The following is a 15,784-nucleotide window of genomic DNA, read 5'->3' on the forward strand; positions in this document are numbered from 1 at the left end:
GCAAGAGAAACGCGTGAATCCAGGAGACGGAGCTTGGAGTGAGCGGAGATCACGCCACTGCACTCCAGCCTAGGCATCTCAAAAAAAAAATTAGCCAGGCGTGGTAGCAAGTGCCTGTAGTCCCAGCTACTTGGGAGGCTGAGACAGAAGAACTGCTTGAACCCGGGAGGCAGAGGTTGTAGTGAGCCTAGATCGTGCAATTGCACTACAGCCTGGGCGACAGAGCGAGACTCCGTCTCTCTCCCGCTCCCCCAAAAATATAAAAAGCAAAAAACAAGAAAACATTGACTAGGTAATTATTAAACAGTTTTGACAGAAGTGGGTCTATGGAAACATCAGTAGATGGTGAAAAAGCTTAGGACCTCAGAGAAATGTTAGCACCAATGTCCAAGAGATTAAATTATGCTCAGCACATAATTGGAATGGTCAGTCTGATGGTTTTGGCTTTAAAATGAGATTCTTCTTCTTCTTTTTTTTTTTTTTGAGGCAGAGTCTCACTCTGTCACCCAGGCTGGAGTGCAGTGGTGCGATCTCAGCTCACTGCAACCTCCGCCTCCCGGGTTCAAGCGATTCTCCTACCGGGTGTGGTGGCTCATGCCTGTAATTCTAGCACTTTGGGGGGCTGAGGCGGGTGGCTCGCCTGAGGTCAGGAGTTCAAGACCAGCCTGGCCAACATGGTGAAACCCTGTCTCTACTAAAAATACAAAAATTAGCTGGGTATGGTTATGGTGGCGCACACCTGTAATCCCAGCTACTTGGGAGGTTGAGGCAAGAGAATCACTTGAACCCAGGAGTCAGAGGTTGCAGTGAGCAGAGGTTGCACCACTGCACTCCAGCCTGGGTGACAGAGTGAGACTATGTCTCAAAAAAATAAATAAATACATAAAAAGATGCCTCAGCCTCCAGAGTAGATGGGATTACAGACATCCACCACCACGCCCAGCAAATTTTTGGATTTTTAGAAGAGACGAGGTTTCACCATGTTGGCAAGGCTGGTATCGAACTCCTGACCTCAGGCGATCCACCTGCCTCGGCCTACCAAATGCTGGGATTACAGGCGTTAGCCACCATGCTTGGTCGATCCCTTTTGAATTAAGTTGGTTCATACAATCCTCCATCCAACCTCATGGCATGATAGGTAATTTTCTCACAACGGAATACTTGTTTTCTGAAAGGAGTTGTTTATAGGTTAAGCAAAACCAATTTAAGAGCTTTCAGCAAAGTAATATGAAAAGCTTCTGTTAATTTCGCCAGGTGAGAGACAGGGTCTTACTCTGCTGTCTAGGATAGAGTGCAATGGGGCAATCATGGCCCACTGTAACCTCAAATCCCTGGGCTCAAATGATCCTCCCACCTCAGTCTCCCACACAGCTAGGACTATAGGCATTTGCCACCATGCCCAGCTGTTTTGGTAGAGACAGGGTTGTGCTGTGTTGCCCGGCTGGTCTCTATCATGCTTGATCCCTACCCTGTTGACTTCAACAAGGATGGCACCATGTCCAAGAACTGAATGAGAGCCAGAGCTAGAAAATGAGACATAGAGCTAGGCGTGTGGCTCACGCCTGTAATCCCAGCACTTTGGGAGGCCAAGGCAGGCGGATCACCTGAGGTTGGGAGTTCGAGACCACCGTGATCAAAACGCAGAAACCCCGTCTCTACTAAAAATACAAAATTAGCCGGGTGTAGTGGCACATGCCTGTAATCCCTGCTACTTGGGAGGCTGAGGCAGGAGAATCGCTTGAACCGGGAGGTGGAGGTTGCAGTGAGCCGAGATCACGCCACTGCACTCCAGCCTGGGCAACAGGAGCGAAACTCCATCTCAAAAAAGAAAGAAAGAAAGAAAATGAGACATAGGGTTTATTGAGGACTTAGATACAGGGCAGTCCAGGAGCGGCAGGCTGGACAAAAAAACCACTATCATTTGAAAGAAGCATGCAGTTTATATAGTATTTTCACTTATCACCCTCCGCCTAGCTCAAAACAAAGGGCCTCATTCCAAGGAACAGGCCAGGGGTTCAGAAACCTCCAGGTTGGCCACTCCTGGATTTCTTCGTTTGGAACGCTGAACCAACACTCTTCTTAGACCACAGGGTCATTCTTAGGGTGTGCTTGAGTTACTGCTGTCAGATATATCTGTTATACAGTGTCGAACTCCTGGCCTCCAGGATGTTCTTGCCTTAGTCTCCCAAAACACTGGAATTAAAGGCATGAGTCCCTGTACATGACGAGATGGGCTTTTATTAACCTCTTTGTTAGTTTCATCAATCGAGAAGAGAGGGGAGGGTATGCAAAATAAAAATGTTAGAAAATGGGCCACACTTTACAAATTGAGATTATGTCTCCAGTTAAATGAGTTCCCCTATTGCTGTGTAATTCACAAGAAATTCTCCAAGAGGGAGTTACCAATTCAACACATATTTACCCATGACTTCCACGGTGGCTCTTCTGTAAGGAAATGCTTGAACCCAAAGAGAGAACATGCAGATCATAATCAGTTCATATTTATAATCTTGGGCTGGAGGCAAATGCATACAGTTTACCAAATATGAAAAGGTGAGGTGGGCAAAGGGAAATGCCCTTGAGATCCCTGAAAAGAAAGAAAATTCAGTTATACATTTGATACTTAAATATATGGGACACCACTTTGTTAAATTGCAAGAAAAAAACCAAAAGCATGCCAGGCACAGTGGCTCATCCTGTAATCTTAGCATTTTGAGAGGCCAAGGTGGGAAGATCCCTTGAGCTCAGGAGTTTTGAGAGCAGCCTGGGCAACATAGTGAGACCTAATCTCTACAGAAAAATTTTAAAAATTAGCTGTGCGTGGTGGCACATGCCTGTCCCTAGCAACTTGGGAGGCTGAGGTGGGAGGATGACTTGAGTCCAGCAGGTCAAGGCTGCAGTGAATTGTGATTGTGTCACTGTACTCCAGCCTGGGCAACAGAGTGACACTGTCTCAAAAAAAAAAAAAAAAAAAGGGCCAGGCACTATGGCTCATGCCTGAAATCCCAGCACTTTGGGAGGCCGAGGCGGGCAGATCATCACAAGGTCAGGACTTCAAGACCAGCCTGAACAACATGGTAAAACCCCATCTCCACTAAAAATACAAAAATTAACCGGGCATGGTGGTGCATGCCTGTAATCCCACCTACCCGGGAGGCTGAGGCAGGAGAATCGCTTGAACCCTGGAGGTGGAGGCTGCAGTGAGCTGAGATCGTGCCACTCCAGCCTGGGCAGACAGACGGACATTCTGTCTCAAAAACAAAAAAAATTAAGAAAGAATCAAAAGCAACTTTCTAATTCATTGCAGACGGGAGTATTTTTCTATTTAGTGACACACTTACCTAACCCATTTATGCCAAGGGATGCAAAATATATATATATATACATATACACACACATACATATATACACACATATATATACATATATACATACATATACATACATGTATATACATATATACACACACATATATACATATATACATATATATACATACACACACACACACACACACACACACATATATACACATATATATATATTTTTTGAGACCGAGTCTTGCTCTGTCACCCAGGCTGGAGTACAGTGGTGCGATCTTGGCTCACGGCAAGCTCCACCTCCCGGGTTCACTCCATTCTCCTGCCTCAGCCTCCCGAGTAGCTGGGACTACAGGCGCCTGCCACCACGCCCAGCTAATTTTTTGTATTTTTTTAGTAGAGACGGGGTTTCACCATGTTAGCCAGGATGGTCTCGATCTCCTGACCTCGTGATCCGCCTGCCTCAGCCTCCCAAAGTGCTGGGATTACAGGCGTGAGCCACCGTGCCTGGCCACTTTCATGGGTTTCTATGAAAGTCTAAACTTACCACATGGTACAGTTTAAATATGTATAGTTTACAGAATGTCATTTATTCCTTATTATGGCTTTAAAGAATTGATTCAAAAGAAAAATGTGGGCTGGACATGATGGCTGAGGCCTGTAATCCCAGCACTTTGGGAGGCTGAGGGAAAAGGATTGCTTGAGGAGTTCGAGGCTGCAGTGAACTATGATCTCGCCACTGTACTCCAGCCTGGGTCACAGAGCAACACCTTGTCTTAGAAAAAAAAAAAAAGAAAAACATGGATTTTCTATTATTTTTGACAAACATGCTTGACAACTATACAAAATCTCCTCATGTCCTAAGTGCAGCAATGAGTCTCTGCGGCAGCAAATACTGATAAGCCAGGAAGGCCATTTTCACCTGATTAAATTGGAACACTGGTTGGTCACAAAGACCACATCACTGGACTAAGAGATCTCCCTTCTCCCTATCCTCTTCCTCCTGCCAATGCAGGAATTGCCTTGAGGTGAACAGCCGAGAAAGGGTACAGGAATCCACGAATCCTTTATATTATTTCCTTTGACAATGGCCTCAGCTACACAAGATTCATAATTATGGAGGTTCTGAGAATTTCTGTACCTGACAGTCCACCACATACATAGTAACTGAATCAATGTGGATGACGTGCATTCCAACTCTGTTCTTGCAGTGTCCTCCACTGCCTATAAATGCAGAAATTCTATAAATTATGACTTCCTGTTATAATCTCATAACCTGGGACACCACACTACGAAACTCTGGATATCAGAGCACATGGCTGCATTCCAGGACCTAGGGAACAGATTTCCCTCAGCAGTACTGAGCAGAATGCAATATCCCTTGTAAAAGAGAGGAAATTTTCGTGTCGATCTCAGAAGCATCAGAGGATGTCACAAACACTGTTCCCTTCTCAGGTTTATCTATAAACCCAGAAATTATTGGAGTATCTAGTCAACAAATAAGGACCACAAAGTTCTGGAGTCTTTGGAGGCCTTGGGCAGCCATGAAAACTATGCCACAAGTGAAGAGACAGTATATTCTGTCATCATACTGTCCCCTCTGAGGCACACAAAGTCTAGTGATCCCAACAAAAGCTGTCTGCCCCTTTATGACACCAGAACCCAGTTGTTTCCAAACCACCCGAAAGAGTAAATACAACTCTCAAGACTGAAGGAAGCTTAAACAATAAGGCCTTATTCATTGCACAAATCAGAGCAATGGGAAGCAGAATGTTCTTTGGTTGGAACTTAAGAGCCTAAAGAATCACATGAGACCCGCTGGGTGCGGTGGCTCACGCCTGTAATCCCAGCATTTTGGGAGGCCAAGGAGGGCAGATCATGAGGTCAGGAGATCGAGACCATCCTGGCTAACACGGAGAAACCCCATTTCTACTAAAAATACAAAAAAATTAGCTGGGCATGGTGGTGGGCACCTGTAGTCCCAGCTACTCGGGAGGCTGAGGCAGGAGAATGGCGTGAACCCGGGAGGCGGAGCTTGCAGTGAGCTGAGATCACGCCACTGTACTCCAGCCTGGGCGACAGAGCGAGACTCTGTCTCAAAAAAAAAAAAAAAATATCACATGAGACCCATAAGGTCCCTGAAAAAGGTAGTCCATCTTTTCAAGCTGACAGAAGACCCCTCTGGACCAGTACTGAGACAGATCCATGGTCTCGCTCATCCGAAAGAAATGAGAAAGGAATGACAGCTGAGACTACTCACCAATTCCTCTGGCCAACGAAAGACAACCAAGGTTTACTTCCAGAACATCATGGGGTGAATGAATGATGCACAGTGAACACCTGCCTCGTGGCCGACATAAAATGGCTTTTGCCAGATAACCGACATCATGTCTGGCAAGGGAACCCGGCAGGGTGAAAAATGCCACACAGCTCCAACATAATTGAGTTTATGCAGATGCTGAAGGTATGTCAATTTAGGCAGATGGCTCCGTCATAAGGCATCTCCTCCAGTGTTATGTTTTACAAGAAATAATATTTCCTGTACGTGTACAGTGTTTTCCTTATGAGAACAATCTGTTATCCAATGACAGAAGGCAGAAGGCTTTCTCACATTCATCGCACTCAAGAGGCCCTTCTGCAGTGGGAGCTCTTCTGTATGTAATAAAACAAGACTTCTGCATAAAGAATATCCCACGTTTGTCACACTCATAAGGTCCTGATCCAGTAAGAACCCTCTGATCAAGAAGATGCACAGAGGTTTAGCTAAAGAATTTCCCAAATTTCTTTTCACTTGTAAGGACTTCTTTCTGTGTGAACTCTCTGATGTCGAAGGAGAGAAGAGCTTCGATGAAATGATTTTCCACATTCACTGCACTCATAAGGCCTTTCTCCAGTGTGTACTCTCCTGTGTTCAGTAAGACTGAAGGTTTCAGCAAAGGATTTCCCACATTCGCTGCACTCGTAAGGCTTTCCTCGAGTATGAAGTCTCTGATGTTTAAAATGCGCAGACCTTCGAGTAAATGTTTTTCCACATTCCCTGCATTCATAAGGCCTTTCTCCAGTGTGAACTCTCCTGTGTTCAAGGAGACTGGAGAAGAATTTCCCACATTCTCTGCACTCATAAGGTCTTTCTGCAGTGTGAGTTTTCTGATGTCGAAGGAGGGAAGAGCTCTGATGAAATGACTTTCCACATTCTCCACATTCATAAGGCCTTTCTCCAGTATGAACTCTCCGATGTCGAAGGAGGGAACAGCTTTGAGGAAATGACTTCCCACATTCACTACACTCAAACGGTTTTTCTCCAGTGTGAACTCTCTGATGAACACGAAACCCAGAGCTGTCTTGAAATGATTTCCCACATTCATTACATTCATATGGCCTTTCTCCAGTGTGAACTCTCTGGTGTTCAATGAGGTGGGACTTGCCCCTAAATAATTTCCTACACTCTCTACACTCATAAGGCCTTTCTCCAGTGTGGCTTCGCTGATGCTGAATGAGGTTGCCCTTTCGACTAAAAGATTTCCCACATTCTCCACACTCGTAAGGTCTTTCTCCAGTGTGACCTCGCTGATGGTTCCTAAGGTGTCCCTTTCGACTAAAAGATTTCCCACATTCTCCACACTCATAAGGTCGTTCTCTAGTGTGAACTCGATGATGTTCAGTTAGGGTGCCCTTTTGACTAAAACATTTTCCACATTCTTCACACTCATAAGGTCTTTCACTAGTGTGACCTCGTTGATGTTGAATGAGATTGCCCTTCTGAGTAAAACATTTCCCACATTCTTCACACTCATAAGGTCTTTCTCCAGTGTGAACTCGTTGATGTTTAATGAGAGTACCATTTTGACTAAAAGATTTCCCACATTCTCCACACTCATAAGGTCTTTCTCCAGTATGAACTCGCTGATGCTGAACAAGGCTGCCCTTATGACTAAAAGATTTCCCACATTCTCCACATTCATAAGGTCTTTTCCCAGTGTGAACTCGCTGATGCTGAACAAGGCTGCCCTTATGACTAAAAGATTTCCCACATTCTCCACATTCATAAGGTCTTTTCCCAGTGTGAACTCTCTGATGATTACTGACGCTATCATATTTGCTAAAGGATTTCCCACATTCCCAGCAATAACATTCCTCTCTAGAGGGAAGTCTCTGCTGTTGAACAAATACGTGTTTGGTGCTAGAATGTTTCATGCATTCTCCACAGCTGTAATGAGTATCTCCCCACTGAAAGGGAGACTCACACTCAGGTTTGCTGTTTGACTTCTCCCCAGTGTGAGTGGCCTCCTGCAGCAGTAATCCTGAGCTGGGCAAAAAGTCCTTTCCACTCTGAATGAAGATAGATGACTCCTCTGACACATGGAACTTACACCTCTTCACAAACAATGCTTCCTCAACACTGCTTCTATAGGGTTTCTCTCCAAGGTACTGATTCTGGTGCGGACGGTTTGAACTATCATACAATTTATTCCCCCATGCCTCACACCTGTGCAGTTTCTGCTTGTGATGTGTCCCCTGATGATCTGCCAAGTGCAAAATGTCTCCCAAGATCGCGCCACACATTTCACAAGAGTGGGCCTTCTTGGGAGACACACCTGCCCCAGGAGTGCTGACCTGAGACACTCTTTGTATAGAAATGCTCTTCTTAGAAGGTGCCTCCTCATCTTCTGATCCACACCAACAACCTGAAAGCAAGAAAATGCTGATGAATTCAAGTTAACTCTGGTGGGAAGGCACAGCCCACCCACAAGCGTGTCTGACAAACCAAGGAATTACTCCATGGAAATATTTGCAGGAACAGAAAGTTGGCTTCACGTGGAAGATGAGGCTATCATTACTGGGCTATAAAGGTCACAGAATGTCGGCCTCATGATATGAAGGGCATTAGCATACATGCAACACAGAGAATTGAGCCAAGGTCTACAATTTTTTTTTTCTTCTTGAGAGACAGGATCTCACTCTGTCATCCAGCACAGAGTGCAGTGGCATAATCTCTGTCTCCTGGGCTCAGGTGATCCTCCCACCTCAGCCTCCACAGTAGCTGGGACCACAGGCACAGGCCAATACGCCCAGCTACTTTTTGTAGAGGTGGGGTTTCGCCTTGTTGCCCAGGCTGGTCTCAAACTCCCAGGTTCAAGAAATCCACCCACATCGGCCTCCCAAAGTGCTGGGATTACAGGTGTAAGCCAATGCACCTGCTGTATAACTCTTTCCTTTGCAAACCACTTGTCTGCGGGAAATTATCTGATGACATGTTAATGCTATATAGAAGGCTATGTCCAGGCCTAAGAAAATGATTTACAAGACAACAGCTCTTGGTCAGAACAGTTTAACAATTTGCACACACTTGGCCGGGTGCGGTGGCTCACACCTGTAATCCCAGCACTTTGGGAGGCCAAGGTGGGTGGATCACGAGGTCAGGAGATCGAGACCATCCTGGCTAACACAGTGAAACCCCGTCTCTACTAAAAATACAAAAAAATTAGCCGGGCGTGGTGGCGGGCGCCTGTAGTCTCAGCTACTCGGGAGGCTGAGGCAGGAGAATGGCGTGAACCCAGGAGGTGGAGCTTGCAGTGAGCTGAGATCACGCCACTGTACTCCAGCCTGGGCGACAAAGAGAGACTCCATCTCAAAAACAAAAACAAAAACCAAAAACAAAACACAATTTGTACACACTTGCTAATACACAATGTGTATGCCAGTATCGGACAGCACTCTAGAAGTAAACATGAGAAAATAAATGGGTGAGATGTGGAGTCCAGAGACTGGAAGATTCGTTGGGGGATGGACATCAGAGTACAAGTGACAAGGTGTACAACTGACAAATCTGATGCTCTCAAGAATGGAAAGGAAAAGACAGAAACAGTGCCTACTGGCCACAAAAATACTAGTCAAATAGAATAGGTTTCTGATACGATTTGAAGAAAATCTCGAACTCATGCCCTCCCACCAGGTGCCACTCCTCAGTGACAGGCTCCCTCTGAGAACATCAGGCTGAGCCTGGATTCAACTGCCTCTTCTGCAGCACTGAGGACTCTCCATCCCACCATCACAATGATGAAGTACATGGAACCTGGATGATGTAAGTACTAAGGCAAAGATAGGGCAGAACTGGGGCAACTAGCCTCTGTGGCAGCAAACAGTGATGAGCCAGGAAGGCCATTTCCACCTGATTAAATTGAAATGCTGGCTGGTCACAAAGGCCACATCACTGGACTCCCTATCCTCTTCCTCCTGCCAATATGTGCTGGTAGTTTTCAGCAACAGTGGTTCAAAACATGACAACACACAGGAAAGGAAACTAATTACTAAAAACAGAATTTCTTTTTTTTTTTTTTGAGACGGAGTCTTGCTCTGTTGCTCAGGCTGGAGTGCAGTGGTGCGATCTCAGCTCACTGCAAGCTCCGCCTCCCAGGTTCACACCATTCTCCTGCCTCAGCCTCCCTAGTAGCTGGGACTACAGGCGCCCGCCACCACGCCCAGCTAATTTTTTTGTATTTTTTAGTGGAGACAGGGTTTCACCTTGTTAGCCAGGATGGTCTCCATCTCCTGACCTCGTGATCCACCCGCCTCGGCCTCCCAAAGTGCTGGGATTACAGGCGTGAGCCACCGCACCCGGCCTAAAAACAGAATTTCTAAGGAGGGTCTTGCCTTTGGTCTATGTAGGCAGTGACAACGGGAGTGATGGCAATTCCTGCCACAGGCAGGCATCAAGTAATGTCAGCTAAAGGAAGGAAGTAGAACCTGGACACACAGGAGTCTCAGATCTGGACAAAGTCAAACAGCAACACAGGGACATGCAAGGTGAAATGCATTAGATTGACTACGAGACACCTGACTCTAACTCCTTCCCTGAGAGTCTGCAGCAAAGCACGTATTGGGACTGCTCAAGGAGAAAAGGCAGTACACAAACCTCAGACCTACCAACCACAAAACCTACCCAGAGAAGTGGAGAAGGAAGCTGTGCCCATGGTCCTGACATGATAAAAGACAGTCTTGCCAATGGGAGAAAAGGGGAAGGGCAGAGATCTATTCAGGAAATAGGGTAGGGTGTGAGGAACTTACCCAGGGAGGATATAAGTACCCAGTTCTCCAGCATCACGTCATGGTAAAGGCATCTCTGAACCTCACTAAGGAGACTCCACTCCTCCTGGGAAAAGTTCACAGCCACATCTTCAAATGCCACAGTGCCCTGCTATGATGGTGACAGATGAAACCACAAACAGCTCCTATGCTGAGGTACCACAATCCACCTCTCCCACACCCCCACCCCCTTGCCCATCCTCCTCCCAAGATCCTCAGCACAGAGGAGAAACTAGTCCACTGGTGCCTTTGTCTCTTCGTGGGCCCACTGGTCACTCAGTATAGCCATCAGCAATTAAGAAGTAGGGGAAAAATAGGGATCTATGCTGTGCTTGTTTTTTTGTTTTTCTGAGACAGAGTCTCGCTCTGTCACCCAGGCTGGAGTGCAGTGGCATGACCTCAGCTCACTGCAACCTCTGCCTCCTGGGTTCAAGCAATTCTCTGCCTCAGCCGCCCGAGTAGCTGGGATTACAGGCACCCACCACCACTTCTGGCTCATTTTTGTATTTTTAGTAGAGACAGGGTTTCACCATCTTGGCCAGGCTGGTCTTGAACTCCTGACCTCGTGATCCACCCGCCTCAGCCTCCCAAAGTGTTGGGATTATAGGCGTGAGCCACCGTGCCCGGCTATGCTGTACTCTTAACATAAAAGGGTCCACCCCCTCCTGACAGCTAATGCCTGTGGTATATCCGAGCTCACATAAAGCCCAGTGCAGTTGCCTGGGTCCATTAGACGTACTCCCTCTCTAAATACACATCCTTCTTTTTTTTCTGAGATGGAGTTTCGCTCTTGTTGCCCAGACAAGAGTGCGGTGGCGGGATCTCAGCTCACTGCAACCTCCACCTCCCAGGTTCAAGCAATTTTCCTGCCTCAGCCTCCCAAGTAACTGGGATTACAGGCACCCACCACCACACCTGGCTAATTTTTGTATTTTTAGTAGAAATGGGGTTTCACCATGTTGGCTAGGCTGGTCTCAAACTCCTGATCTCAGGTGATCCACCCACCTCGGCCTCCCATAGTGCTGGGATTATAGGCATAAGCCACCACGCCCGGCCTTACACATCATTCTTTAGATAGCACAGGCACATGTCACGGCCAGCCCAACATGACATCCCCCAACCATCAGCTTCTTTTGAGCCTTAACACAAATTACAGTTTTGGTTTCTTTTAGTCAGGTTCTCCTTTGGTCGCCTAAGCTGGAGGGGAGTAGTGTGATCATGGCTCATGGAAAGTTCAAACCCCTTAGCCCCAGGCCTCAGCCTTCTGTGGAGATGGGATCTTACGTATGTGCAACATCAACCACTTTCTTTTAAGAGATGGGGTGTTGCTAAGTTGCCCAGGCTGATCTCAAACTCCTGGCCTCAAGCAATCCTCCCACCTCAGCCTCCCAAAGTGCTGGGATTACAGCATGAGCCTTCAAGCCTGGCCAACAAAGTATTTTAATCCCCTTCTTTTCCTTCTACTGCTCTGAGTGGGATTCTCCCCTTAGGGTTATAGTGTTGGGGAAACAATTGACACCTGAGACTGTACATATGCCATCCACAGCAATTTCAAAATCAAATAACTCACAGCCTGGCAGAGAGGGCCACATGGGGGTTGCACTGTGGACAACAAATGGAAACCAGGGACAGTGTTATGCACACTTTGTAGGATGAAGAGGGTGTGATAGCCCCTGATTTCTCAGGAGGGTGCCACTGACTTGCTTAAATAATTCTGAGTAGAAATGGAATTGAAACCCAGTACAAAGTATAATAACCAGAAACTGTGCCTGATCCCTTAATGAAAAGGGTTGTTAGGCCAGGATACATTATCCAATAGAACAGAGTGGGAAGGGGATTTGTGCTCAGGCCATTTGAGGTCATACAGTATCACCACACACCAACGTTGCACATCACATTGGCCTTTCATTTTCGGCCTTATGCCACAATGTGGCTGACAGAATTCAGAGTATGCTTGGCAAATTCAAACAGGATCCAATATTACCACAGAATTCTCATGGCTCCCAATAGCAATGCAGTCCCAAGTCATTCTATGAAGGCCTTCTTGCATGGCTCCACATCCCCACAGAACCAGGTGGGGCTTTAGATATCCATGGCCCTATTCCACTTCTGTGTTGCACTTGGTGACCCCTCTACAATGACGACTTTCCTCTGTCCACCTAGAGTCATTTAAATCCCACTCCCTTGTTATGGAGAATGGTCTAAGAAAAGTGGAAAACAAAAGAAAAAAATAAATAAAATCCCAGCCCATCAGCTGTCCACCCCAGGCCCAATGTCTGTCACAGATAACCAAATTTACCCTGAGCATGTATCCACCAGGCCGAATGAAAACCCCCAAGCACCAACAAAGTTTTCTCAAAATCTTGGTGAGTCCACAGAGTGGTGAATAAGTACCAGCCTTGGCCCAAGTGTCATCTTCCTTCAATTATTTCTATGCTTCTGCTTACATCTCTTATCTATTCTACCCTTGGAAAGCCTATGCCCCCTGACAAACCATGTTGTCTGACATACCCTATCTTCATGAGCCCTTGCCTCCTTCTCCTGTGGCAATGTCAGCCAGGGACCCAAGCAAGAAATTCAGCCCTCAGCCTGCAACCACCCCTTCCTGGCCCCCACAAAAGATTTACCATGAAAATTTGAAGTGTGTCAATGTCATAATGGAGGCTAAACTATCTCAGACTCTTAACATGGTCAAAACAACATTCTTCACATCCCCAATGAATATTATACCTACTATGTGCTCATCTCAGTTGATGCAGCTTCCATCACTGCAGATGCTAAGACCAAAAACCTGGTGGTCATACCTGATTCCCCTTTCATGCCCTCACAGTCTATTAGAAAATCTAGTTACCGACCGGGCTTGGTGGCTCACGCCTGTAATCCCAGCACTTTGGGAGGCCGAGACGGGTAGATCACGAGGTCAGGAGATCAAGACCATCTGGCTAACACGGTGAAACCCCATCTCTACTAAAAATATTAAAAATTAGCCGGGCATGGCCGGGCTTGGTGGCTCATGCCTGTAATCCCAGCACTTTGGGAGGCCGAGGCCGATGGATCACGAGGTCAGGAGATTGAGACTATCCTGGCTAACACAGTGAAACCGTCTCTACTAAAAAATCCAAAAAATTAGCTGAGCATGGTGACGGGCGCCTGTAGTCCCAGCTACTCGGGAGGTTGAGGCAGGAGAATGGCGTGAACCCGGGAGGCAGAGCTTGCAATGAGCCAAGATCGTGCCACTGCACTCCAGCCTGGGCGATAGAGCGAGACTCCCGCTCAAAAAAAAAAGGAAAATCTAGTTGCCATTTTACAAACTGTGAATCTTGAATCCAGCCACAGCTCCTTACTCATTAATATGGTCCAGTAACCCTCACCTGCATTATGGCAGGAGTTTAAACTCTGATCCTCCTTCCTCCTCCCTCAAACACAGTGTGTTCTCTTCTTTGCAGCCAGATGATGCCTGCAGACAAATGGGACTGTGGTAACATCACCTCCTCGCCGCCCTCTTGCCTCCCCACCGAATTTTTACCTCTAAGCATTTCATGACCTGGTACCAACTCTGTAGTTAACCTTCAAAGTATGTTTACATGGGTTGACAGAAATGGGAATACCTCCATACATCCTGTGTCATGGACTTAGGATTCTGGGTTTAGGGTTTCTCCAGTGTTCTCAGATCAAAGGACTGAAAAAATGGCAAGTAAGAGTCCCAGGACATCACAAGCTAGAGAACATGTGAATGGGGAATAAGGCCAGTGAGGGAATGGAACACCCTCTAATTCCCTCTGTGGGTTCCTTTTTTTGAGCCAGAGTTTCGCTCTTGTTGCCCAGGCCGGAGTGCAATGGCTCACCGCAACCTCTGCCTCCCGAGTTCAAGCAATTCTCCTGCCTTAGCCTCTGAGTAGCTGGGATTACAGTCATGCGGCATCACCACGCCTGGCTAATTTTGTATTTTTGTTAGAGACGGGGTTTCTCCATGTTGGTCAGGCTGGTCTCGAACTCCCGACCTCAGGTGATCCGCCCGCCTCGGCCTCCCAAAGTGCTGGGATTACAGGTGGGAGCCACCTTGCCCGACCCCCTCAGTGGGTTCTTTACGTGCTTTTGTAGCCAGGAGTGTCTGAGGGGAAAGCAGACGTTACAAAGGGGATCTGATAAGCTCAGGTCTCCTTGAACCTTTTCTTATCGCTGGAGCCAGGTGACCTCAGACTGGTTGACCTGCGTGTCTCAGTGCAAAATGTCATCTCTACCACCTATGTGATCTATCAACAAAGGAGTCAACCTCCCAGAACCCTAAGGTCCTCATCTCCTCTACTATGTTCTTCCTTTGGCCTTTGGGAAACCTTAAAAGCCTGGACTTGGATCGCATCCCTCCTTTCTTCGAAACTCTCCATGGCTTCTAGCGTCTTCACAGCGAATACACAGCCCCCAGCCTGCTCTTCCAGGAGAAGCTTCGCCTCACACGTTGTTCCCTACAGGCGCCTGTGGACCCCAGGTTCCATCCTCCCGGGTCTGTCCTCCAGGCCATAGCCCGCGCCGGTCCCTGTGCCTGTCGCTCTCCCCACCGCATCCCACAGGTGTCAGAAACAAGGACCTCTCCCGCGAACGCCTCAGTGTCCCGACGCCGGGTCCGGGCTGCAGACCTGTGAACAGTCGCCGCTCTCTCGCTGCTTCAGGATTCGGGTTAGGATGAGGTGACCTGAGGGCAGGGAAGGCACAATTACCTGAGCCGGGAGCCTCAGCGCGGCCGCCGCCATCCCGAGTACGCGGGGAAAGCACTGCCGGGAGCGGCGGGCGCCGTTACGGGGCCTAAGATCTGCCTCTGTGCAGCAAGAAGGACTCTTCACCTTCTGGGTTCAGACACCGCGGTTCGGACCCATAGCTCCAGCGCCTCTCACCTCACAAACCGCAGAAACACACCCAACATTAACCAAAATGGTCGCTACCAGAGAACGCTGAGAATCCCGCCACTACGTTACGTGCGCACACAGAAACGCCTTTATTCTGAGCCCTTACTGGTTCTGTTGCGCTGTCATTCAATGTAGAGCTTTCTGGGTAATGTAGTTCCCCAGGTTCCAAGGTAGTAAAGCTGCCGCTTCCCAAAGGCGCTTCTGCAGGGAAGTCCCAGCCCTACCTCAGGGGGTTCATTAAAGCGCGTACCCTTTTAGGGCAGAGGATGGTCTCGCCCCTCCTTAGAGGCCATATTGAGATTCCTGGGGAATCCCTGTTTGTAACTGACCACCTAAGTGTTTGCAAAAATATTAATTCACATTTCTGTAAATTCAAGCTCCCAGGCGCTAAAAATACTGTGAAGGCCCCCAAAGGCTACAAATCCAAATTCGTGTATCACTTTATACAATCGTTTAGACACAGAATGCTTGCACTGGAAG

General features: G+C 47.4%; 1 protein-coding gene across 38 annotated transcripts, besides 2 other annotated features; it reads right to left on the reverse strand.

The window, feature by feature from the left end:
* Positions 1-1,839: 1,839 nt before the first annotated feature.
* ZNF418 (zinc finger protein 418) lies at positions 1,840-15,360 on the reverse strand. Of its 38 annotated transcripts, none has more exons than XM_047438198.1 (8): positions 15,293-15,360; positions 15,038-15,093; positions 13,775-13,860; positions 12,388-12,604; positions 10,386-10,515; positions 5,581-8,005; positions 3,150-3,247; positions 1,840-2,587 (listed from the first exon to the last, which is right to left on the reverse strand). In XM_047438198.1, exons 4-6 carry the CDS (start codon positions 12,451-12,453, stop codon positions 6,108-6,110), a joined length of 2,094 nt encoding a protein of 697 aa, XP_047294154.1. In that variant the 5' UTR covers positions 12,454-12,604; positions 13,775-13,860; positions 15,038-15,093; positions 15,293-15,360; the 3' UTR covers positions 1,840-2,587; positions 3,150-3,247; positions 5,581-6,107. The 38 variants fall into 38 exon arrangements, with proteins under 38 accessions (XP_047294154.1, XP_047294163.1, XP_047294153.1 ...); XM_047438207.1 differs by lacking the exon at positions 12,388-12,604 and having other exon boundaries at positions 1,840-2,215; positions 2,423-2,587; positions 14,989-15,093; XM_047438197.1 differs by having other exon boundaries at positions 14,989-15,093.
* Positions 14,763-15,645: an enhancer, noted in NCBI's record as "NANOG-H3K27ac-H3K4me1 hESC enhancer chr19:58446173-58447055 (GRCh37/hg19 assembly coordinates)". NCBI's record gives its function as "activates a minimal SCP1, AML or CMV promoter by ChIP-STARR-seq in primed H9 embryonic stem cells {active_cell/tissue: H9 hESC(primed)}" and the evidence as "EXISTENCE:reporter gene assay evidence [ECO:0000049][PMID:30033119]".
* Positions 15,238-15,327: an enhancer, noted in NCBI's record as "active region_15171". NCBI's record gives its function as "activates an Ori minimal core promoter by ATAC-STARR-seq in GM12878 lymphoblastoid cells {active_cell/tissue: GM12878}" and the evidence as "EXISTENCE:reporter gene assay evidence [ECO:0000049][PMID:35858748]".

Source organism: Homo sapiens, chromosome 19, assembly GCF_000001405.40.
Source record: "Homo sapiens chromosome 19, GRCh38.p14 Primary Assembly".
NCBI classification, from domain to species: Eukaryota; Metazoa; Chordata; class Mammalia; order Primates; family Hominidae; genus Homo; species Homo sapiens.